At 42.0% G+C, this 23,052-nt stretch overlaps 1 protein-coding gene across 29 annotated transcripts in view, besides 2 other annotated features; it reads left to right on the forward strand.

Moving 5' to 3' along the window:
* Positions 1-23,052, forward strand: part of ABCA13 (ATP binding cassette subfamily A member 13) — a 476,040-nt gene that overhangs the window by 118,797 nt on the left and 334,191 nt on the right. For all 29 annotated transcript variants that reach the window (XR_926914.3, XR_926915.3, XR_926919.3 and 26 more), the window contains 5 exons: positions 5,446-5,609; positions 6,978-7,057; positions 8,112-8,233; positions 19,693-19,887; positions 22,813-22,977. Coding sequence is in view for 26 of the 29 variants with exons in the window: in XM_011515130.3 (XP_011513432.1) it covers positions 5,446-5,609; positions 6,978-7,057; positions 8,112-8,233; positions 19,693-19,887; positions 22,813-22,977 (726 nt within the window). In the remaining 3 variants the exon portion in view is untranslated. The remainder of the gene's footprint in view (positions 1-5,445; positions 5,610-6,977; positions 7,058-8,111; positions 8,234-19,692; positions 19,888-22,812; positions 22,978-23,052) is intronic.
* Positions 8,021-9,220: an enhancer, noted in NCBI's record as "P300/CBP strongly-dependent group 1 enhancer chr7:48337872-48339071 (GRCh37/hg19 assembly coordinates)". NCBI's record gives its function as "activates an origin of replication core promoter dependent on BRD2, BRD4, P300/CBP, MED14 and CDK7 cofactors, with strong dependence on P300/CBP, by STARR-seq in HCT116 cells {active_cell/tissue: HCT116}" and the evidence as "EXISTENCE:reporter gene assay evidence [ECO:0000049][PMID:35650434]".
* Positions 9,568-9,627: a silencer, noted in NCBI's record as "silent region_18174". NCBI's record gives its function as "represses an Ori minimal core promoter by ATAC-STARR-seq in GM12878 lymphoblastoid cells {active_cell/tissue: GM12878}" and the evidence as "EXISTENCE:reporter gene assay evidence [ECO:0000049][PMID:35858748]".

Here is a 23,052-nt window from a genome sequence, read left to right on the forward strand (position 1 = left end):
AGAATGCAGCTGGAACTTCAGGTTGGGTGGGGGCTTCCTACTGCCTCTCTAGATCTAGACCTTTGGGTCCACCTGTATACACTTATCCAGCATTTCTTGATTCTAGGCCTGATGTAGCCGGAGAAGGAGAGTCTGATAGGTGCTGCCTTTTCCACGTGGTGGTTTTACCTGATCCCAAAAGTATAGCCTGATGAATTTCAATCTCAACTTTGGCCTAGATGCCTCTGCTTACCTGGAGCCTGGTACACCTGTGCTGAAGAAACTTGGAATTTTTCTTCCGGTAGTCCTTGCTACTGGGGTAGAATGTGCACTTTTCTACTTTATAATCCCCTCTATGTCAAAATTATTATTTTATTAAATTTAAGAATAACATCCATAGCAGGAATATTATAAATGCATTGAATGAAAATTAATTTGCATGCAGTTACAAATTACAAACTAGAGGTTCTTTGCTATAAGGGAATACTCCATGGCAGAGCCCTCATGCAGTAGGTTTAATTCAATCTATGTTCTCAGGAGTGAGTTGGCCCCTAAGGGGATACTCACCTGTATCTATTGTTCTGACCTAGTTGTATTTCTGCATTGATATGCTACAAAAAGGGATCTCTTTGGAGCAAGGAGAATACCGAGCCTGAAATGCCTGGGTGAGAGAATTGGAGAAGGTTTAGAGAGCTTCACACTCAGGGAAAAAAAAAAAAAAAAAAAAAAAAAAAAGAGAAAAGAAGAAAAAAGCAGAGTGTGAAAGTCCAAGGGCTTCTGTGCATGTTATTAGAAATGTGCATGTAGCTTGGAGTCTTGAGGCTGGACCTAGACATCTCTCTGCCTTGCAGATGCTCTTCCTGAGTTTGCTACCATCCTTTTTCTTTCTGCTTTGCTGTGGTGACATTCAGACATCAGACAATAAATGGGGTCTGTGCACATTAGGGGCAGTGGGTGGGTGAAGGCTGGAGGAGGCTGTGTCTCTTCTGGTAGAGCAGTCAGCGGAAACCTAAGTGAAGAAAGGAAAGAAGTCTGTACCCTTGAGCCCTGTCACACGTTAGAAAATGGAGACGGGCTTGAGCTGAGCACTCCTTGTCAGACCCCTTCAGGTGTTACTCACACAATGCAGGGGTTCAGTTGCTTGGTGGGTATCAACCCAATGACCACAACCAAGGAGGATTTAACAATGAGATTTAAGTAAGGAGAACACCAGGGATGGTTCCCAAAGTAGTGCCTCTGAGCTGGGGACGGGTTAGGTTTTATAAACGTCATGTAATGTGGATCTGATTGACTGGGTCCTGCCATGGGTGATGCCAGAGCTCAATCCAGTTGGATCCTGGATCCTGCCATGCAATGTCCGCTTCTTAATTCAATCCCTGCTCCTCAGTCCGAGCACTCCAGCTCCCCCTGTGGTTGCACACTAGTTCATCCAGGCATGCCCGGGTTATGTGACCTGAGGGTCCATGGCAACTGAAAAACTACTCACAACTTTGTTACGTAAAAGTCGAACCAGATTGGCCTGGTGCGGCTAACATAGACAGCAGACACCACTCCACCTGCTCAGTCCGTCAACCTTCACATGCGGAATCTCACTCCTCACCTCCGGCTTCTGAGCCCGGCATTGACACAGACTCAGCCACGCCCATCCCCACGTCACTCAGCTCCCGGCACTTTCCCTGGGCTCCTCTTGCATCCTTGACCGACTGTCTCCAATTCCACACCTGGCTCCTCTATGTGGCAGAAGGACCCAGGCTGTCTCCAGACCCTTTCTGTTCTCAGTCTGTGCTCACATGCTAGGGAATCTTATGCAGATTCATTTGCAACCTAAAAATCCCAATTACTTCCTGACAACTTCCAAATTTCCTTCTCCAGCCAACACCTCCCCTGACCTTCATGCTCATGTGTTCAGCTGCATTCCCACTCAGATGTCAAGCAGGCCCCTCAACTTTACTCATCTGAAAAAAAACCTCTTCATCTTTCCATGTAATTTTTCCCACCCCTGGTGTTCTTTCCCTCAGATGCCAGGGACAACAACCTTGGCATGCTTGTTTAGTCTTTGTTCTTCTTATTTTTTTCAGTTAGAAAACTCTCCCTTCTACCTTCCAAATGTTTCCCTGATCTGGCCATGTTCTACCACCTCCACCAGCACCTTTCAGATATGAGCCAGCTCTCCCTTCCTTCTCCCCTTGCCTCGATCCCTAATGCGGTAGCCAGAGTGACCCTTCCAAAACATCATCAGATGGTGTTACTCCTTTGCTGAGAGTGTCCAGCGTCTTCCAGTCTTATTTGGAATAGGTGTCCGATTTCTAAGGGAGGCCACTGCTAGGTCCTGCTGTCTGGGTGGCATATCTCTCCTTCTGCCCTCCCCGGCACTCTCTTCTCCACCTCGCTGGCTCCTTTGCACCCACCTCAGGGCCTTTGCACTTGCTGCTCCCGCACCTGCAGTGTGCTTCCCTAATGATGATAAGGAGGGTTGTACACCTTCCTCTTGCACCTCCAGCACTGCCCCCACCCCTGCCTTATTTTCCTCCAGGTCACCTGTGACATGCTGACCAGTTTGCCCCTACAGCTGTCTGCTGGTAGTGTTCCTGCACTGGGTTGTGAACCTCATGGAGGTAGGAGTTTTGTCTCCTGTGTTCATAGCTCTCAGTCCGGCACCTAGCCTGGGCCTGGCACTTGGCAGGTGCTCCATAAGTATTTTTTGAATGAATGAATGAACAGTCCTATAGGATTTCTGTTCAAGTTCCACTCCCAAATCACTTGGGAAGAAAAGAAACTTATAAAATGAATGACAATAATAGATGAATTAGAGTCAAGAAGTTGCATGCTTTGTAATAATCTATTGGCTGGTTTAGTTCCCCCCACAGTGAGATTTTGTGGTTTGGTTGAGGCGGTGGTGACAGTGGCATGAGTGCTCTGATCATGGATTAACGTTCATCATTTCCTGAGAAGTCTTCAGCCCCCCCCCCGCCACACACACACTAAATCTACCTCAGCTCTGCTGGGGGGCTCCATCTTGGGGCGGCCTCCAGAGCTTAGCTCCCAACCTTGACTTTTCAGCAGTCTTCACATTTCCTTGGAACATATATTTGTGAGCTTCCTCTGGCCACTTGAATGATTCATGATTTTCCTTTGCAAGAGAAATTGACAGTGGTTTTGAAAAAAATATTCAAAGTTTTACTTCGACAGAAATATTATCTAAGTGTTGACCTACATATGATACCTTCCCATAATTGGTGCAACCTGGAACTATGCTTCCAATATCAGTAAGAATATGTTGATATAAATAAAATGTGATGAAGCAAATAAATTCTGATGATGTAAAATAAAGTATTTATGGTAGAATAGCTGTGACTAGGGAAAGTGTATAGATTCATGTGTATGTTTATAGACATAGATGTTATATGTTTGTGGTGTTTTCTGGGTTATTTTAAATATTATGTTACCTATATTTGTCATTTAATTCCACATATGGTGTTTTGCATTTTGTCAATTAATAGGTATTATTCTAAAAGGTTTTTTTTTGGCAAAATGATTGGTTGTTTAAAAAACTGATTGTTTCTAGGAAGATACGGATAAGATGTCCATGAAATCTTAGAGGTGGGGGTTAGAGATGTGGAGAGTGGGGACCTACTTCTGGAGTCTTTCCAGATGTTCCCCAGAGTCTTAGGAGCCTCTCCACCTGCAGTGGACAGAACAGGAGCCTCTCAGGCTGTACTGCTGACCTTCAGAGCACGGCAAATCCCGGTTTTATCCACCTCACATAGGAATAGCCACATATGATTTCTTTCTAATCATTGTGTTTGTGGCTGTGAATTTTGAAAAGCCTCAAGTTTCTTTAATTTTTTTTTCATTTTCATATTTATTTTTTAATAATATATATTTGAAGTGTACAACATGATGTTTTGATAAACATACAAAGTGAAATGATTACTACAAACAAATGAGCATATCTGTCATCTCAGAGTTATCTTTGTGTGTCGTGCGTGTGTGTTAACAGTACCTAAAATCTACTTTCTTAGCAGATTTCCAGTATGTAATACAATATTGGCAACTATAATTCTCATGCTGTATATTAATTCTCTAGATGTGTTCATTCTACATAACTGCAACTTTATACCCCTTGACCAACATCTTCATTCCTCCCAAGTTCATCCCTGGTAACCACCACCCTATGCTTTGTTTCTATGGGTTTTTTTTTTTTTTTTGTTTTGTTTTTTTTTTGAGACGGAGTCTCGCTCTGTCGCCCAGGCCAGACTGCGGACTGCAGTGGCGCAATCTCGGCTCACTGCAAGCTCCGCTTCCCGGGTTCACGCCATTCTCCTGCCTCAGCCTCCCGAGTAGCTGGGACTACAGGCGCCCGCCACCGCGCCCGGCTAATTTTTTGTATTTTTAGTAGAGACGGGGTTTCACCTTGTTAGCCAGGATGGTCTCGATCTCCTGACCTCATGATCCACCCGCCTCGGCCTCCCAAAGTGCTGGGATTACAGGCGTGAGCCACCGCGCCCGGCCCGTTTCTATGGGTTTGACTTTTAAAAAGTTTGACTCTACATGTAAATGAGATCCTGTAATAGTTTTCTTTTTGTGGCTGACTTACATCACTTAGCATATCTTCTGGGTTCATCCATGTTGCTGCCAGTGGCATAATTTCCTTCTTTTTACAGCTGAATAATATTTTATTGTATATAATGTCACATTTTCTCTATTCATTCATCTCTTTAGAAACATTTTGGCTGATTCTATATCTTGGCTTTTGTGAATAATGTAAATATCTCTTTGGGACATAATTTCATTTCCTTTGGCTTTATACCCAGAAGTGGGATTTCTGGATCATATGGTAGTTCCATTTTTAATATTTTGAGGAATCTTCATACTGTTTTCCATAATGGCTGTACCAATTTGCATTTCCACCAACAGGGCACAAGGTTTCCCTATCCTGCACACCCTTACCAACACTCGTTATTTCTTGTCTTTTTGATAACAGCCATCCTAACAGGTATGAGGTAATAGCTCATTGTGGTTGATTTGCATTTTCCTGATGATTAGTGAAATTGAGCACCTTTTCTTTTACCTGTTTGCCATTTTGATGTCTTCTTTGGATAAGTGTCTGTTCAGGTTCTTTGACCATTTTTTAAATTGAGTTATTTGTTTTTCTGCTATTGAATTGTGTGTGTTCCTAGGAACAGAGCTTCAGGAAGTTAAGAGCCAGGCGATTTGGTGGAGAATTGCGTGTTCTCTGCTGTGTGTTCAAGAACAAGCTGTCTTGCTTGGCTGGCTAACAGCGGAGCCAGGAGTAAAATCTGGGCTTCTGTATTTCCACAGCCAAGGGCTCTTTCTACTACTCTGCAATGCACAGAAGCAACTGACATGATTGTTCTCTGTGTTTCCTGAGACTAATGAGAATAAATCAAAATCTTACAGATAAGTATGTGTGCTTCTAACCTATATCATTGCTATGTTTTCTAGGAAATTGAAAAGATATGGTCCTCGCCGAATCAGCTAAATTGTGAAAGTCTTAGCAAGAATCTTTCTAGCACCTTGGAGAGCTTCAAGAGCAGCTTGGAAAATGCCACTGGCCAGGACTGCACAAGCCAGCCGAGGCTGGAGACGGTGCAGCAGCACTTGTACATGTATGCTCTGATATTCTTTCATGCCCTCCCCAGTACTTCCATTCATAGAGAGGATGTCTAGGACTCTTTAAAATGTGAATTTCAGACAGTGGTCTGTATAATATACTCTTAATGTGCATATTAATATATATTTTCCAAACATCAAAGTTTTCCATGACAATTTTTGAGTGGTAAAATGTAACAGCAGCATTAATCAGAAGGCTAACTTTATTGGCGATAAAGATATTAGATATAAGAATGTAATCCACAACGCTTGGTGGCAAATGCCTGTAATCCCCTCTAATGGGAGGCTGATGTGGGAGAATCGCTTGAGGCTAGGAATTTGAGACCAACCTGGGCAACATAGCAAGACCCTGTCTCTAAAAAATAAAAGCAACAACAAAAAAATTAGCAGGATTTGGTGCTGTGCATTTATGGTCCCAACCACATAGGAGGCTGAGGCAGGAGGGTTGCTTGACCCCAGGAGTTCAAGGCTGCAGTGAGCAGTGATTGTGCTACTGCACTCCAGCCTGGCTGACAGATAAAGGGCCTGTCTCATAAATTAAATAAATAAATGAATAAATTTCTGTTTGAACAGCAAATATTTTTCTTTTCTTTTCTCTTTTTTTTTTTTTGAGATGGAGTCTCGCTCTGTTGCCCAGGCTGGAGTGCAGTGGCGCGATCTCGGCTCACTGCAAGCTCCACCTCCCGGGTTCACGCCATTCTCCCTCCTCAGCCTCCTGAGTAGCTGGGACTACAGGCACCCGCCACCATGCCCGGCTAATTTTGTTTTTTTATTTTAATAGAGATGGGGTTTCACCGTGTTAGCCAGGATGGTCTCCATCTCCTGACCTCATGATCCGCCCCCTTCGGCCTCCCAAAGTGCTGGGATTACAGGCTGAGCCACCGCACCCGGTCGCAAATATTTTTCAAATTACCTTCATGTTTGATCAATTTTGCTTAGTGTTCTGAAAGTGTAAAGCACCAGAAGGGGAAATAAGGAACTTTAAATTCTGCAAGTGACTTTTTCACTGAAAGAATGATGTTCATCTGACCCTGGCTATCCTAATTTCTCGTACGTTCCATGATCTATCCTATCTATTCTCTTCACAGTTGTGAAAAGCCATTTATTATGCATCCTCATTCCCCTGGTTCATCTCGGTTGGCAGGAGCTCTGAGAAAGAAATACTGGAGTGTGGGTAGTATTAATGGATATTCACATACAGATGGTATTGGGAGACATGTGGGTCTAATTGTTGCAGGAACTTTATGGAAATGTGATCTTGTTATCCAGTCCATCTCTTGGGAGCTGAGGCAGTATTATTCATTCCAACACTGTTTCTGATGTTTTAGCTTGCCTAATTTAGCTTTAATTTTCTGCCATTTTAGGTTGGCCAAAAGCCTCGAGGAAACTTGGTCATCAGGGAATCCCATCATGACTTTTCTCAGCAATTTCACAGTAACTGAGGGTAAGTATGTGGTTTTCCAAGTTTGCTTGATTAAAAATTAAATTTAGTTTCTCATGCAAATATATTATTAAAATAAAACATACAACAGAAAATTTATGCTATATGTGATACATAATCATTTACAACTTGGCTGGTATGATGTATTTGGCATTTATAAAGAAAGTCCTGAAATCCTAGGGTACCATGTTGAAGCAGAGGAACAAAGAGAAGCTTCTGTGGTCTGGATTTTGCTCTGGCCTTGCCTCCTCGGACAAGCAATTGATGTCTGTGTGTCTCTGTTTCCTTGGCTGTTCACTCTGTCAACTCATGAAGCTTCTTGTAGCATTAACATGCCATGTCTGAAGAATTCTGGCAAATACTTAAATGATCCCTCTCTTCTTAAAAAAGTGAGATGAGTAGATGCATGTATACAAGTGAGTTTCTTATAGCACTTGGTCACTGCTCCCTAAGAAGAAGCTCTTTCTTTCTTTCTTTCTTTTTTTTTTTTTGTGTCTCACTCTGTCACCCAGCTGGAGTACAGTGGCGTGATCTCGGCTCACTGCAACCTCCGCCTCCTGGGTTCAAGCGATTCTCCTGCCTCAGCCTCCTGAGTAGCTGGGATTACAGGGATGTGCCACCATGCCCGGCTATTTTTTTTTTTTTTTTTGTATTTTTAGTAGAGACAGGGTTTCACCATGTTGGTCAGGCTGGTCTCGAACTCCTGACCTTTGATCTGCCCACCTCGGCCTCCCAAAGTGCTGGGATTACAGGTGTGAGCCACCACACCCAGCCAGAAGAAACTCTTTCTAAAGTAAATGTTCTTAAAACATACAGGCCTTAGAGAGAGTAGACCAGTAACCAGAAAATACCACAGAACCTGGCATTTTGGTTTATTGTCATATAAATTATTTAAGTTATTCCCAGGGGAGTAAGGTATGACTTTATTTAGTGATTTATGGGTTGAATGGTGTGAAAGAAACTATCCTAGCCAGGTTGTAATATCAAATTTTGTTTTCGCAGTCAGTAATGATCTAAACCTTTATTACACAAATTTCTTATTTTCCTTACTTTGCAGATGTAAAAATAAAAGATTTGATGAAGAATATCACCAAGTTGACTGAGGAGCTTCGCTCTTCCATCCAAATCTCGAATGAGACTATCCATAGCATTCTAGAAGCAAATATTTCCCACTCCAAGGTGTGGTGCTGTTTCTTGTCTGTCTGTTTTGCTCATGGAAGGAGCCTTAGCCTGAAGTCACTGGCACTGTGTTGTCCTTTCTTCCTTCTTGCCTTCCTCTCCTTTGGCTAGTGTAGTGGGTTGCTGCACAAATGATATAATTGGAGGCAGAAAGGAAACAAGAGAACAAGCAAGGAACCAAAGGGTGTCATTGTCCCATGCCAAAATCTTAGGGTTTTTAATTCCATAATATTTTCTTTATTTGGAGTTAGAACAAAGTTGGTGATTATTTATTCTGTTGATTTCCAGCCCTGATGCATGACACCTGGGAAGGGTCTCGGCTTGATTCAGCAGGTGTTGCAAAATTCTTAAAATACCCAAAACCAAAAACAGCTAAAAATATCTTAAGAATCAACTATGACTTCCTCTGAGTGGAGAGTGACTGGGCACAGTCTGACTATGTGCTACCGTAGTGAATCACTGTGAACGCAAATGAGTAATGGCAGGCTGTGTCATCTCCAAGCTGAAAAATGTGATAAAACAATCAAAGAGCTACTGCAACAAACCAAGGGATGAGTAACACATACGGGCCACATGGGGTATGGTTTCTCTGTGGAAAAGGGGAACGGGGACATCTCATGTTTTCCACAGCAGATATCACCTGGATCCTTAGCAGGAGATTTTCTGAGACAGCTTTCAGCACTTCTAGTTGGGGTTTTATCTTCCTGTACAGAGAACCTTCCAGAAGTAGTAACCGTGGAGCTGACTCGTAAGTGAACGTTGCAATTGACCATCAACTGGGCCCCAACACACGTTTAATATCATGTCAATTCTGGTTAATTGGGGCTTATTGCAAGCTTGACGGGTGGACTAATGAAGAATTAATCTAAATTAAAAAGAGATTAGAAGCTGGGAAACCAAAATTCAAATGACAGTGTCACCAAGTTACTTATAATAAGGCACTTAGTATTTATCTTCAAGGAAAAATGTCAAATTCAGCTTATTAAACATGCAAGAGCCAAGGAAAGCAGGGGGCAGTGCTGAAATTGTCTCTTCCCTACCTCGCATGATGCCTTATAGAGAAACAATGAAGATTTTTGGTTTAAAATCTTTAGTTATTGAAACGAGTAATAGGGGAAAGAAGCAGTGGAAGGAGTAATCGGAGCAGCTACCTGGGAATGTTTTAAGACCAGGGTCAGATTAGCTAACTTCTGGGGTCCCTTTCAAATTCAGTTTTATGATACTTTTTGGGTTTGGGCTCAACTGTTTTTGATGACCACTGCCTGATGAAACAAGTGGCCACTGGGTGTCACTGCTGTTCTATTATGGGAGGGCTGTGCACAGAGAAGGCTCCTGTGGTAATGTGGTATTGTCTTGTGTAGATGGTTCTGTAGTGCTTTTTTTGCACTCTGTGTATCTTTCTCTACCTCTTTGTCAGTATGAATCATTATGATCGCCTAAACAGCTGGACAGTTAAGTAATTGGGAGGAGTATTTAAAAAGTTGCATTCTTGCGTTTCAAATAAGTAATGAGATTATTTGCTTTGATGGTTAAGTATATCCATAAATGCACATGTATCTACAGATCCTAGGCAAGGAATTAACATTAGGTTAGGAGGTGACACTTTGGATACTTGTTTTTTCTAGATTGTCAGGTTTTTAGCAGCACCATATTATTTCTAGTATCCTTTTCTTATCTTTCTTCCTGGGTTTCTCTACCATAGCTTTAGTCAGTTTGCAAATAATCACATCAGATTCTTAGTCCAGGCTGTTGGTGGCATGCAGGGAATACTCTTCAGTGGTGCTAAAGCCCTGGCAAAATTGCAGAAATCTTCATTCATTCATTTCTTCCTTTATTCACTTAGGAGGTTTCTGCATGACAGGCATGGTCCCAAAAACTTGGGCTCAAAGCCCGTGCTCCAAGGGAGCCAATGTTCTGTGGGGGATGACACAGTAAATATGCAAACAAAAGAAGGTCAGTGTTAAGAGACCAGAAAGTTCTATCATGCAAATAGAACACAACAATGAGGACAGGTGGTCCCTGGAAGCCTCCCTGAATCGGTGAAGATGGATGTCAGACTGGAATGATGATCTGCATATGAAGAGCTATATGAGAGTCACAGAGCTGGGGCATTTCTGTCAAAAGACCAGAGACAGGAGTGAGCAGAAGGAGGCAAATGCAGCAGATGCATGGATACCATCTCATTTTTCTTTCCTGCCCTCTTCCCTGGCTGCAGAGAACCTGCCATGGGCACCCACCCATGGGAATTTCCTTTTTCTTGCAGAGCTCTATTCTCTAATATCAGCATCACCCAATTAAAACCACAAATCACAGGGGCTTCCTGGACACTGGAGCCCATCTAGCCCAGCCTTCTGTCCTGGGTTTGCATCCTGTCCACCTGCCCTGTGAAGCACCCATCCACTTCATGCTGTGTTCCTATGTTTTAGGCACATGTTCAAATCAACAATGACTTCCTTCTTTGTGTTGGGCCAAATTTTTATTCTTTTAAAATTAGCAATGAGGCCAAAGTGTCAGGACCCAAATAGATTGAGAGAGCAATCAAAAGTCGGCCCTCTGTCCCTTTATTTTCTGTGGTAAACAATTAGGCAGAGTTCAGAGGACTTTTGCTTGGAAGATGAATATTTTTTCACAGTCCTCAGTGGATTCATTCTCCCCGCGCCACAAATCTTAAGGAGGAAGGGAGAGGGCATTCCCTGAAAGTTCCAATCTCTTCTGGGAGGCTCCTTCAAATGGAAAGGTATTCTGAATTTTTTTTCTTTCTGTTTCTTTTGAGCAGAAATGATTGAGTTTGGTGAATCTGGTCAAATTTCCTTATCTCACTTGGGGCCGGTCCTGGGGGCTGGTTCTGTCGGTTGCGACATTAACAGAGCTGCTGGGCATAATTTATGGAGAGGGAGAGATTCCTTTTAGGAGTTTGGAAACATTACACATTCCACTTGTTTTAATACATGAAGTTTGTTTCCTGGAAAGCTCCAACAGATAGTTCTTGGTGAAACTCATTTCAGAGCAGACACTGGTCAAAATTTGCTCATTCTTTTTTTTTTTTCTTTCTCTGAAGACAAAAAGTAATTAATGTGTGACTAGAGTTATGGGTTTCTGGGATCATGAGAAGTTTGGCCTGAAGTTTCCTGGAAGACACCATCTGTCATGTGCAGAGTCTCATTCTAGAGAAAGTCCTTCCTAGGCCTTAGACTGCTTGTCTGGCTCTGTCACCACATCAGGAGATTGGGGTTTGTGGTCCTTGTAATCCAGGATTCACAGAATGAAGTGCACACACCCATCCACCACCATCTCATTCTCTGGTGTTCTTAGAGTAGGGCTTTTCTCTTTGATTTGTTTGATTTGTTGTCCTACCAGAGTATTCTCAGTAAATGTGGTAGGTTCTCATTAAACATTCACTAAAATAAAGTGAAATTCCAGCTACTCTCCTTCCATTAAGTCAGCTAGCGTTTCTTAGGTTTATGAAAGCCACGTTACCTTATTTGCTCATTAGGAATTCTGAGAAATGAGTATTGTGCTAAGGGCATTTGTGTCTCATTTAACTCCCTCTGAGCAGGGCATTTCTCTTCTTTCACAGATGAATGTGATGCTGTGGAAGTCACAGCTGGGAGAGGGCCTGAAATCAAACCCACGTCTTTGAACTTGAACTGTGTTATTCTTCCATCACATGATGTTATTGCTTCAATTTGTTACAAATTAATAGTTCTAAGAAAATTACTGCTTGCCGATGGGTTTCCTCTTCTCCTACTTGCACTTATGTAAATATTTTTAAACCTTAATTCCCCAATTGGCATTGATCTCTGCAAAAATGCTTCTTGCTAATTTTGGCAAAATATTTTTTCCTTTTTATTTTTAAAAATTAAACTTTTATTTTAGGCTTAGGGGTGCATATGCTGGTTTGTTATATAGGTAAACTCGTGTCAGGGGGTTTGTAGTACAGATTATTTCATCACCCAGGTATTAAGCCTAGTATCCAATAGTTATTTTTTCTGATTCTCTCCCTCCTTCCAACCTCCACCCTCAAATAGGCCCCAGTGTGCTTTGTTCCCCTCTTTGTAGCCATGTGTTCTCATTATTTAGCTCCAACTTATATGTGAGAATTTGCAGTATTTCATTTTCTGTTCCTGTGTTCATTTGCTGACGATAATGGCCTCCAGCTCCATCCATGTCCCTCCAAAGGACATGACCTTGTTCTTTTTATGGCTGCATAGTATTCCATGGTGTATATGTACCATATTTTCTTTGTCCAGTTTGCCCTTGATGGGCATTTAGGTTGGTTTCATGTCCTTGCTATTGTGAATAGTGCTGCAATGAACATACATGTGTAGGTATCCTCATGGTAGAATGATTTATATTCCTTTGGGTATACAGCCAGTAATGGGTCAAATGGTAGTTCTCTTTCTAGTTCTGTGAGGAATCGCCACACTGGTTTCCACAATGGTTGAACTAATTTACATTCTCACCAGGAGTGTATAAATGTTCCCTTTTCTCTGCAACCTCATCAGAATCGGTTACTTTTTTGACTTTTTAGTAATAATCATTCTAATTGGTGTGAGATGGCATCTCATTGTGGTTTTGATTTGCATGTCTCTAATGATCAGTAATATTGAGATTTTTTTCATATGCTTGTTGGCTGCATGTATGTTTTCTTCTGAAAAGTGTCTGTTCATGTCCTTTGCCCACTTTTTAATGAGGTTGTTTGTTTTTTTCTTGTAAATTTTTTTTAAGTTCTTTATAGATACTGGATATTAGACCTTTGTCAGATGCATATTTTGCAAAACCTCCCGTTCTGTAGATTGTCTGTATACTCTGTTGATAGTTTCTTTTGCTGTGCGTAAGCTTTTTAGTTTAATTAGGTCCCATTTTTCAATTTTTGCTTTTCTTGAGTTTGCTTCTGGCATCTTCATCATGAAGTCTTTGCCCATTCCTATGTCCAGAATAGTATTACCTAGGTTGTCTTCCAGGGTTTTTATAGTTTTGGGTTTTACATTTAAATCTTTAACCCATCTTGAGTTGATTTTTGTATAGCATAAGGAAGAAGCCCAGTTTCAATCTTCTGCACATGGCTAGCCAGTTATCTCAGCACCATTTATTGAATAGGGAATCTTTCCCTATTGCTTGTTTTTGTCAGGTTTGTCGAAGATCAGATAGTTATAGGTTTACGGCCTTATTTCTGGACTCTATTTTCTATTAGTTCCATAGGTCTATGTGTCTGTTTTTGTGCCAGTACCATGCTGTTTTGGTTAATTGGATATTCTTTCAAGGTGTTTTTTGATATCAAATTCTGATACTTTAATTTGCAAAGTATCATTTTTTTCTCTCAACTTCATCAGTCACCAAAAGATGAGAGTATCTTTTATATTTTCATCCAAGTCGTTAGTGCAGAAAGATTACCATGGCATAGGAAGGTATAACCTAACACCTATTTATTTGTTTGGGCTCTTAAATCAGTTGCAACATGTCTGTCTGGGGTGTCTTGGTAATTTATTAGCCTAATAATTTCATCATTAAAAGAAAATGACTTTATATTGACATGGCTCATTGATCATGACTGTATCGACATGGTTTCCAGCAATTTTCTTTTTCTTCAAGGGCTTACACATAATCTTTTGGATAATCCATGATTAGAATTCTTCAAGAATTGACATTATTATCTATTAGTAATTTCTAAAGTCTACTTTACAAAATAAAACCTGGATAGTTTTTATTTCCATCACGACTTCTTAAAAACTGTAGATAGTAGAACTGTCACTCTTTCTGAAGGCATGAAGAGGGAACAGGGAGAGAGGGAACTGGAAATGGAGACAGAGAAGTTGGTGGAGAAGGTGGCCAGACAGCAGCCATGGCCTCACTGAAGAACTACAGCCAGGCTGAATGGTAGTTCTCTTTAGGTTCTTTGAGAAATCCCCACACTGCTTTCTGCAGTGGCTGAACTAATTTACATTCCCACCAACAGTGTATAAATGTTCCCTTTTTCTACAATCTCACAAACATCTTTTATTTTTTGACTTTTTAATAATAGCCTTTCTGACTGGTGTGAGATAGAATCTCCTTGTGGTTTTGACTTGCATTTCTCTAATGATCAGCGATGGAACAATAGACATGGGGGACTACTAGAGGGGGACTACCAGATGGGGAGGATGAGAGGGGGAAAAAGAGTTGAAAAACCACCTATTGGGCACTATGCTCACTACCTGGGTGATGTGATGGTTCATACACCAAACCTCAGCAACACACAATTTACCCAGGCAACAAACCTGCATGTACTCCGTAAACCTAAAATAAAATTTGAGAAAAAAAGGAACTGCAGCCAAATGATGCCTGCCTTACTGGGCAAGGACACCATTGGCACTGCCCTAGAGGCCAGCTGCCAAGATGCTTATCCACAGATCTCCTAGGCATCCTGTTTTACCCTTCCAGTGTGAAGATGTTTCTCTTTAGGAATATGAAAACCAAGAAGGAATTAATTAGTTCTCTTAAGTGTAATCATCATCCTTAATCAATAAACCCACCTAATTCTTATTCATCTTTTCCCTTAAATATCCTGTAAGTCAAAACTGTGCTTTTGCTGGCAGTGACTGATAGGCTTCTTAGTAGTAACGTCATTTTTGAGCACTTATATACACTACCCCTGAGCTGAATGCTTTACATCTCATTTAATTCTCCCAACAACCCTTTGGAGCCCTTTGTCTTTTATTGTCATCCCTGGTTGTATAGACAAAGAAACTGAAGTGTGTAGATGTTAAGCAGCTTTCAGGAAGTCAGACGGTAAGAGCTGGAGTCAGGATCCACCACCTTGCCACAGTGTGGCTTCAGTCCTTCTGGCCAGGTTCTCGCAGCCTTCTCCTGCCCTCCGATGCTCATCTCTTGTACTTGCCTCTTTATCCTGTGAGCAGCTCTGAGCTCAAATGGGTCCCCAATGGCAGAGAGCCACACTGCTCCTCTCTGAAGGGCGTAGGGCCTATTTTTAAATACCTGCGCTCCTTTCATTGTCTTGTCTTACAAATTCTAACTTGGCAGACTCTCTCTCCCCATCATCTCCAGTTCCCTTGAATCACTGTCCGTGTTTCCCTTCCGGTCACAACTGAGCTGAGGGCAGCCTTTCCTCCCATGCTTTCCCAACCTCTGAGTCTACAATGAGCAGCTGGGCAACATGGAGGCCATCTCTGGTGCTCTCCTCTGAATGCGATTCGGGTTTCAGCAGATGTCCAATAAACAAAGCTCTTGCTAAAAATGCAAATGCCTCTCCTAAGGATCATTGTCATTTTTAAACCACATAAATACTCAGATAATTATCTAAGTGGCCAAGTGTGTATGAGCCAGGCTCGCAGGGCAGAGAGGCATCGCCCTGGATCCTAAGCCCCCTTACAGCTTTCCAAACCAAACACTGACACACAGGAAAATCAGCAGGAACTTGGCATTCTGTTTCTGATAATTTGCAGCATTAGCCTATGCAAAGCCCGAGATAAAAGGTGCCTGTTTTACTTTGAATAGAAATCACACAAGATATTTCCAATCAAGCACAACTCAGTGTTGTCTTTGCTTTTCTAATCTTCCTCCCCTCCTACCTACTCTCAAACAGGAACAACGAACGAACGCAATACAATCTTTAAAAGATAAATAGTAATATTTGGAAAACCACAGGAAAGGAGAGGGAGCAAATGTGCTGCTGGGGCTGTGGCTTCTGTGCATTGTGACTGCGGAGCTTCCACATGACAGGGTGTGGGATCCTCTCTATTTGGTAAAAAGAGATGTAAAAAATTTCAGGACAAATATTTTTTGTCCTGGGACTAGACTCTAAAAAACGTATTAAATATGATCTTGCATGGGGACCACTGTGTGACATGCTAGAAAGTAATTAATACAAATGTTCTATGACAAATGCAGAAAGGACTCTCATTGGGCCAGCTTGGGTTGATGCTCATGAAAAGCCAGGGTGATTCCCCTGAATTGGGGGTTTGGATGAGGTCCATTTTGAGGGATAGTTTCATGCAAAAGCCTATTTTGTGGGACTGATCAAAGAGAGGCTCCTCTTGTGAAAGCAAAGGGTAGATGCCTATATTCTGCTCCCAACCTCCTCCTGAGAGCTTCCCCTCTGCCCAGAGACAGCATGATTGAAAACAGTGGCATTAAGGAAAACTTCACCAATGTGTGTCTGCACAATGCCAGCCCTATATGAAAAAAGGTCTTTTTGGTAAGTTAGTGATGAAAATACTTAATATCCTTTCTTAAAGACTCAAAATGCACACTAGCATACTAGAGTATCATAGCCATTGGTGATGATTAATTTTGTGTGTCAACTTGGTTAGGCTGCAGTACTCAGATATTTGTTCAAACATTATTCTAAATGTCCCTATGCGGGTATTTTTTAGATGACATTAACAGTTAAATCAGTAGACTTTGAGTAAAGAAGATTACTCGTCATAATGTGAGTCAGCCTTATCCAATCAGTTGAAGGCAAAAAAAGTAAGAAAGTCCCCCAAGGAAGAGTAAGTTCCATCTCCAGGTAGTCCGCAGATGTGAGCTGCAATGTCAGCTCCTTCCTAGGTCCCAAATCCGCTGGCCCACCCTGCAGATTTTGGGCTTGCCAGCCCCCACATTTGCATGAGCCAATTCCTTAAAATAAATCTCTCTCAATGTATGTATGCTATGTGTCACTTAATGACTAGGATTCATTCTGAGAAATGCATCATTAGGTGATATCATCATTATGTGAACATTATAGTGTATACTTACACAAACCTAGCTGGTACAGCCTGTTACACACCTAGGCTATATGGTATGGCCTGTTGCTCCTAGGCTACAAACCTGTACAGCAGGTTACTCTACTGAATACTGTGGGCAATTGTAACATCGTGGTAAGTATTTCTATATCAAAACATAGAAAACACAAGAACGTATTTTACTATACCTGTTCTAAACATAGAAAAGGTACTGAAAAATATGGTATAAAAGATAAATAAAATGGTATGCCTGTATGGGGCACTTGGCATGAATAAAGCTACAGGACTGAAGTTGCTCTGGGTGAGTCAGTGAGTGAGTGGCAAGCGGATGTGCAGGCCTAGGACATGCCTGTACACCACTGTAGACTCAATAAACATTGTGTGTTTCTACATTTATAAAAAAAAATTTCTTTCTTCAATCATAGATTAACCTTAGCTTACTGTAACTTTTTTTACTTTATAAACTTTATTTATTTATTTATTTTTTTAAGACAGAGTCTTGCTCTGTTGCCCAGGCTGGAGTGCAGTGGCACAATCTCGGCTCACTGTGAGCTCCACCTCCTTGGTTCAAGCAATTCCCCTGCCTCAGTCTCCCAAGCAGCTGGGATTACAGGTGTACGCCACCATACCCAACTAATTTTTTTTGTATTTTAAGTAGAGACAGGGTTTCACCATGTTGACCAGACTGGTCTCAAACTCCTGACCTCAGGCAATCCGCCTGCCTTAGCCTCCCAAAGTACTGGGATTATAGGTGTGAGCAACTGCACCCTGCCGAACCTTTAAAATTTTAAAAAACTTTTGGACTCTTCAGTGATAACATTTATATTAAAACACAAATACATTGCACAGCTGTACAATTGTTTTCCTTTGTGTCCTTATTCTATAAGCTTTTTTCTATTTTAAGTTTTTTTACTTTTAACTTTTAAAATCGTATTTTTAAAAATTAAGACACAAACACACAGTCTAGTCTAGGCCTACATGAGGTCAGGATCATGAATACCACTGTCTTCCACTTCCACAGCTTGTCCCACTGGGCGGTCTTCAGGGGCAATAACATGCGTAGAGCTGTCGTCTCCTGTGATAACAATGCCTTCTTCTGGATACCTCCTGAGGGACTTGCCTGTGGCTGTTTTACAGTTAAATTTTTTTTAATAACTAGAAAGAGTATACTCTAAAATAATGATAATATAGTATAGTTAGTACATAAACCAGTAATATAGTCATTTATTATCCTTGTCACTATTATGTACTGTACATAATTGTGTGTGTGATACTTTTGCTATGAATGGGAGTGCAGCAGTTTTGTTTACACCGGCACTGCCACAAACACTTGAATAATACGCCAGGCTACAACACTACAATGGCTGATGTCACTAGAAGATAGGAATTTTTTCATCTCCATTATAATCATATTTTTCATCTCCATTATAATCTTATGGGACTACCACCGTATATGTGGTTTGTCATCATGTACCAGATAGCGATATTTTGGTCAACAATGGACCCCATATAGGATGGTGGTCCCATGAGATTATACTACTGTATTTTTACTGTACCTTTTTACTGTACCTTTTCTATGTTTAGATATGTTCAGCCACACAAATACTTACCACTGTGTGACAACTGCCTACAGGATTCAGTACAGTGACACGCTGTACAGGTTTGTAGTCTAGGAGCAATAGACCATACCCTATAGCCAAGGTATGTAGGAGGCTGTATCATCTAGGATGCTGTAAGTGCACACTATGATGTTCACACAATTAAACAATTACCCAATGGTGCATTTCCCAAATGTATCCTTGTCATTATGAGACACATGACTGCACACACACACACACACACACACACACACACATTCTCTTGGTTCTGTTTCTCTGGAGGACCCTGACTACTACACCATTATTTATATCTTACTGTATTTTGGGAACATTTTATGGCATCTGTTGAGTTCTCCGTGCTCTTCTTCAGAGAGCATGGTTCCTATTCACATAGGTTCATGCACTTCGGCCTCAGTTGGCCTGAATGTTTCACAGCAATCATACCCATCAGGAGCAAAAACATGGAGCAGGAAGTATGGTTTTTGTTTTATTTTGCTTTGTAATTTGGCATATCACAAATGTCCTTAACTGAAAAGCATACCCAAATGAAGAGGTGTGTCAAAGCCTTTAATTGCGATGCATGATAGTAATAAACTAGAGACTAATATAAGTTGTCCTCAGTGCCTCCTTCTGAGTGTACTTGCTTTAAAAAAATATATAACAAGCTTGGTAATCCTGTTTTCAATCTAAAAATGAAGGAGCAAAAAATATCAGCTTCACACTGATGACGGTGAAAAGTGGAAGCTGATAAACTGAAAGCCAAGGGTAAGACTTAATATCAGACAAACGAGACACAGATGCTAACTACGGGGGTGGCATCGGAGGGTGGGGGCTTGGTGGGCATTCAGAGTGAGCCTCGTGGAGAGCAGAGGGACAGAGTTTCAGAAGGGTGATCCAAAGACCTCAAGCGAGGGCAAATTTTATAAGAAGTCAGAGAATGATGTGCGCACTTCAGAAACATTTCCATCAAAATGTTGAGAATCGAACCCCAGTTTGGGCTCCCCGCATCTGCAGGTCAGTCCCGGGAGTTGGGAAATCCACTCTTGGGCGACTCCCTGCCGATGAAGCTCCGGTCTGAGGTGGTGAAGCACATGACGTCATAGGTATACTCACCTCTAATCTCTGTGCTTTGAAACAGGTTCTCTTCAGTGCCCTCACCGTAGCTCTGTCTGGAAAGTGTGATCAGGAAATCCTTCATCTCCTGCTGACATTTCCCAAAGGGGAAAAATCTTGGATCGCAGCGGAGGAACTCTGTAGCCTGCCAGGGTCAAAAGTGTATTCTCTGATTGTGTTGCTGAGTCGAAACTTGGATGTGCGAGCTTTCATTTACAAGGTATGGAGAGCATGCTGGCTGGGGGCAGTCCTCTGCAGGACTCTGCTGTGGTGGCTGCAGATAAGTACAGTAGTCCTAGGGGTGCGGCAGTGGGAGATCAGCACCTGGCCACTCTGCAGTGGTCTCCACCAGCCTCTGGTGTCACCTGTTTGCTGAATCCAAGGTGGGGCTCAAGAAGACTTTGTTGTAATAAAGGGATGTTCAGGAGACCCTTCAGGGGGTCCTTGGAAATAAGTGTCAGGGCATTGGGACAGAGTTGGTGGTGATCTCCATGCTCATTGTGGAAGGACCCACTGCAAAAACACAGCACCGCTTCCTAATGCCAGGTGTTCTCTCCTCTGTAAGGGCCACCTCCCTGGAGCATGTTTGAGGAGGCTGGGATTGTGCATGGTCCACTCCTGAGCGGCCCGAGTTAGGTGCTGCTCCCTGCACGGTGGCCCTATCTGTCAGCGGGAAGCATCCAGCTCTGCCAGGGCCTGCCCTGGAGAGAATGTGGAGGGGTGGGCAGCACAGGAAGCCCAATCCCCTGTGTGTGCCGGCTCTGACAAGCATGATCCTCTGACAAGCAGCAGTGTGAGGGCAGGGAGGGACTGGAGGAAGCTAAAGATGATGAAGTCTGCAGGAGAGAGTGGAGAGTGGGAAGTGAGGAGGAGCTGGGGCAAGCCCAGGCCCAGCACTTTCCGGACGGGCCCAGAACCCATGTAGGGGCAACCTAGCTCCAAACCACAGCTCACTGCTCTCAAGCTGCCCCTTCCAGAAGCTTCTCCTCCTTCTGGCCTCTACTGTTTGAATCTTTACTTAAGTTTCCAGAAGCTTCCCCTCCTTCTGGCCTCTACTGTTTGAATCTTTACTTAAGTTTCCAGAAGCTTCCCCTCTTACCCTTAGGCACTGATCTTGCTCCAAGTACCATTGTTTTCCCTTTAGGGAAGTATTTCACAACCTCTGGGTTCATTAGAGAGGCTGCAGGGTTTGTACTATGGTAAGGTGGCTGTAGGCACCCTGAGTTTGGGTGAACAGTTTTATAGTCAGCAAAGGGTAGATTTGCCATTTCAGCCACGCATGATTTCCTTAGTTTCTATTACTTCAAGAGTCCAGGGAGTAAATGTTGGAATGAACACACACACACCCACACACACACACTCCAAGAACAAATATTTGTTTTCAGAATGATTACATTTTAAACCCATAAGGAGGAGAATAAACATTTCTTGCATCCCCATAATTTGCAAACCCACCTCTATCTTGGTGGAATTCGTATTTTTCGCTAACATGCTTATGGTTTAGCTCTGCATTTGCTCACCACAGCCTCTCTTCCAACTTTACAGTTTGCCTTTTGGGAAACAGAGCTCCCATTGGCACGATGCTACTTTAGTGGCCACTTTGTTATGTGCACAAAGGTCCCCGATTTGAAGTAAGTGCTTGTAGAGGCCCACATAATTACTGTGACAAGGGCCATCATCTGTACCAAGATTTCTTTGAAGGATAAGATAGTGGGTTGGATTCAGTCTCCCAGACACAATGAAAATGACATCATCATTAATAACAACAGCTCTTATTTATCAGGTACCTTCTATATGAAGGGCTCTATGAAAGTTGATTAAATACAAGATATGGCTCAGGATGTTAGGGCAGCCCGACCTCCATGTGAGGGCCACGTGCAGGTGCAGCTCATTCCCAAGTCCATGTACTTTCTGATTCACTCAGCTGACAATGAATTTCTGAAGCCTTCAGCAAAGCACAGTTTGCTATATTAATTCGGCACATCAATCTGGTCTCTTGGAGCTGCGCTGGATCCCTGTCACTCCCCACCATAAGTCAGGGGCCAGTCACTGTGTGCCACTTTTTTTTAAAGGGCAGCTGCAATTAGAAAGATGAGTAGAAGAAGTGACAAAAGCTACACACCATTTCTCCTGCTAGAGTTGTCTCTATAGTATGAATGGACAGAATTCTGTCATTATAAGCAGAGTGCCTCTGTGAAGGATGGAGCTGTGATCCCGGAGCCCTGAAAGTCATCTGCAGAGCTAACAGCTAAAACACTAATGAGCAAAAATAAGAAGCAGTGACAACTGGGTTCCTCTGCCCCAGCCTGGAAAACAGAAAATTCAATATCCAAATGACAGACAGTGGAAATTAGCTGTGATTTTCCCTGCTCTGTGCGAAGAGCTGGCATTTCCTCATTTATCCATTCATCCAACAAATATTTATTGAGCAACTAATATTTCCTGTTGCTATTTTATGCCCAGTAGCTACATGAAAGATCAAGACAGAAGAAAAGCCTTGCCTCCAGTGTAGAACTGAGAATATGAAAAAAAAAAATCATGTAAAATACAGAGCATTTCAGTTGGTGATAGCATAAGTAAGCTTCAGAGGGCACTGACATTTTTAAAGAATCCAGGTTAAATTCACATCCCTGAACCTTTCTAACTGTTAGACTTCAGGAAGACTTTTAATCTCCTCAAGCCCCAGTTTTCTCATCCACAAAACGAACAGTATAATGCACATCCCCAAGGTATTAGGAGGATTGAGATGATGTGTGAATGCTATGAATACTGTAAAGCAGTAGATAAATGTAAATTGCTTCACATATAAGGACTGCTCATATTTTGAGCCTCTTCTCAAATTTCCACCTTGGTCACCTCAAAGATACAAAGAAATATTTGGCAAATGATTTGAATTTTAATGATAGATCACATTTGTTTCTGGTTTACATTTTAACAATGCTAGTGCAATTCAGTGTGCTCCAAAACACATGAGCTATATATACTCTAATGAAGATAACTTTCATATAGTACCGCAAAGGCGTCTCTGAAGTTCAAGAGAGAATAAAATCAGATAAACAAGTTTTCACAGCTCAAAAGATGCTTCTGAGTGTAAAAATACAGTGTTGGTTATTTCATGTTGTTTTGTTTTTGTTTTGTCCTTTAGACTCTGATGCCTTCTGAAGCAAATGGCTTGCTCAACTCCTTGCTGGATATAGTTTCCAGCCTCAGCGCCTTGCTTGCCAAAGCCCAGCACGTCTTTGAGTATCTTCCTGAGTTTCTTCACACATTTAAAATCACTGCCTTGCTAGAAACCCTGGACTTTCAACAGGTGTGTGTTTCATCTTTGTCCCTAGGGAAATATTCAAATTTGCCCCTTCTTTGTATTTGCCCCTTTTTGCCTTTA

This window comes from Homo sapiens, chromosome 7, assembly GCF_000001405.40.
Source record: "Homo sapiens chromosome 7, GRCh38.p14 Primary Assembly".
Classification (NCBI taxonomy): domain Eukaryota; kingdom Metazoa; phylum Chordata; class Mammalia; order Primates; family Hominidae; genus Homo; species Homo sapiens.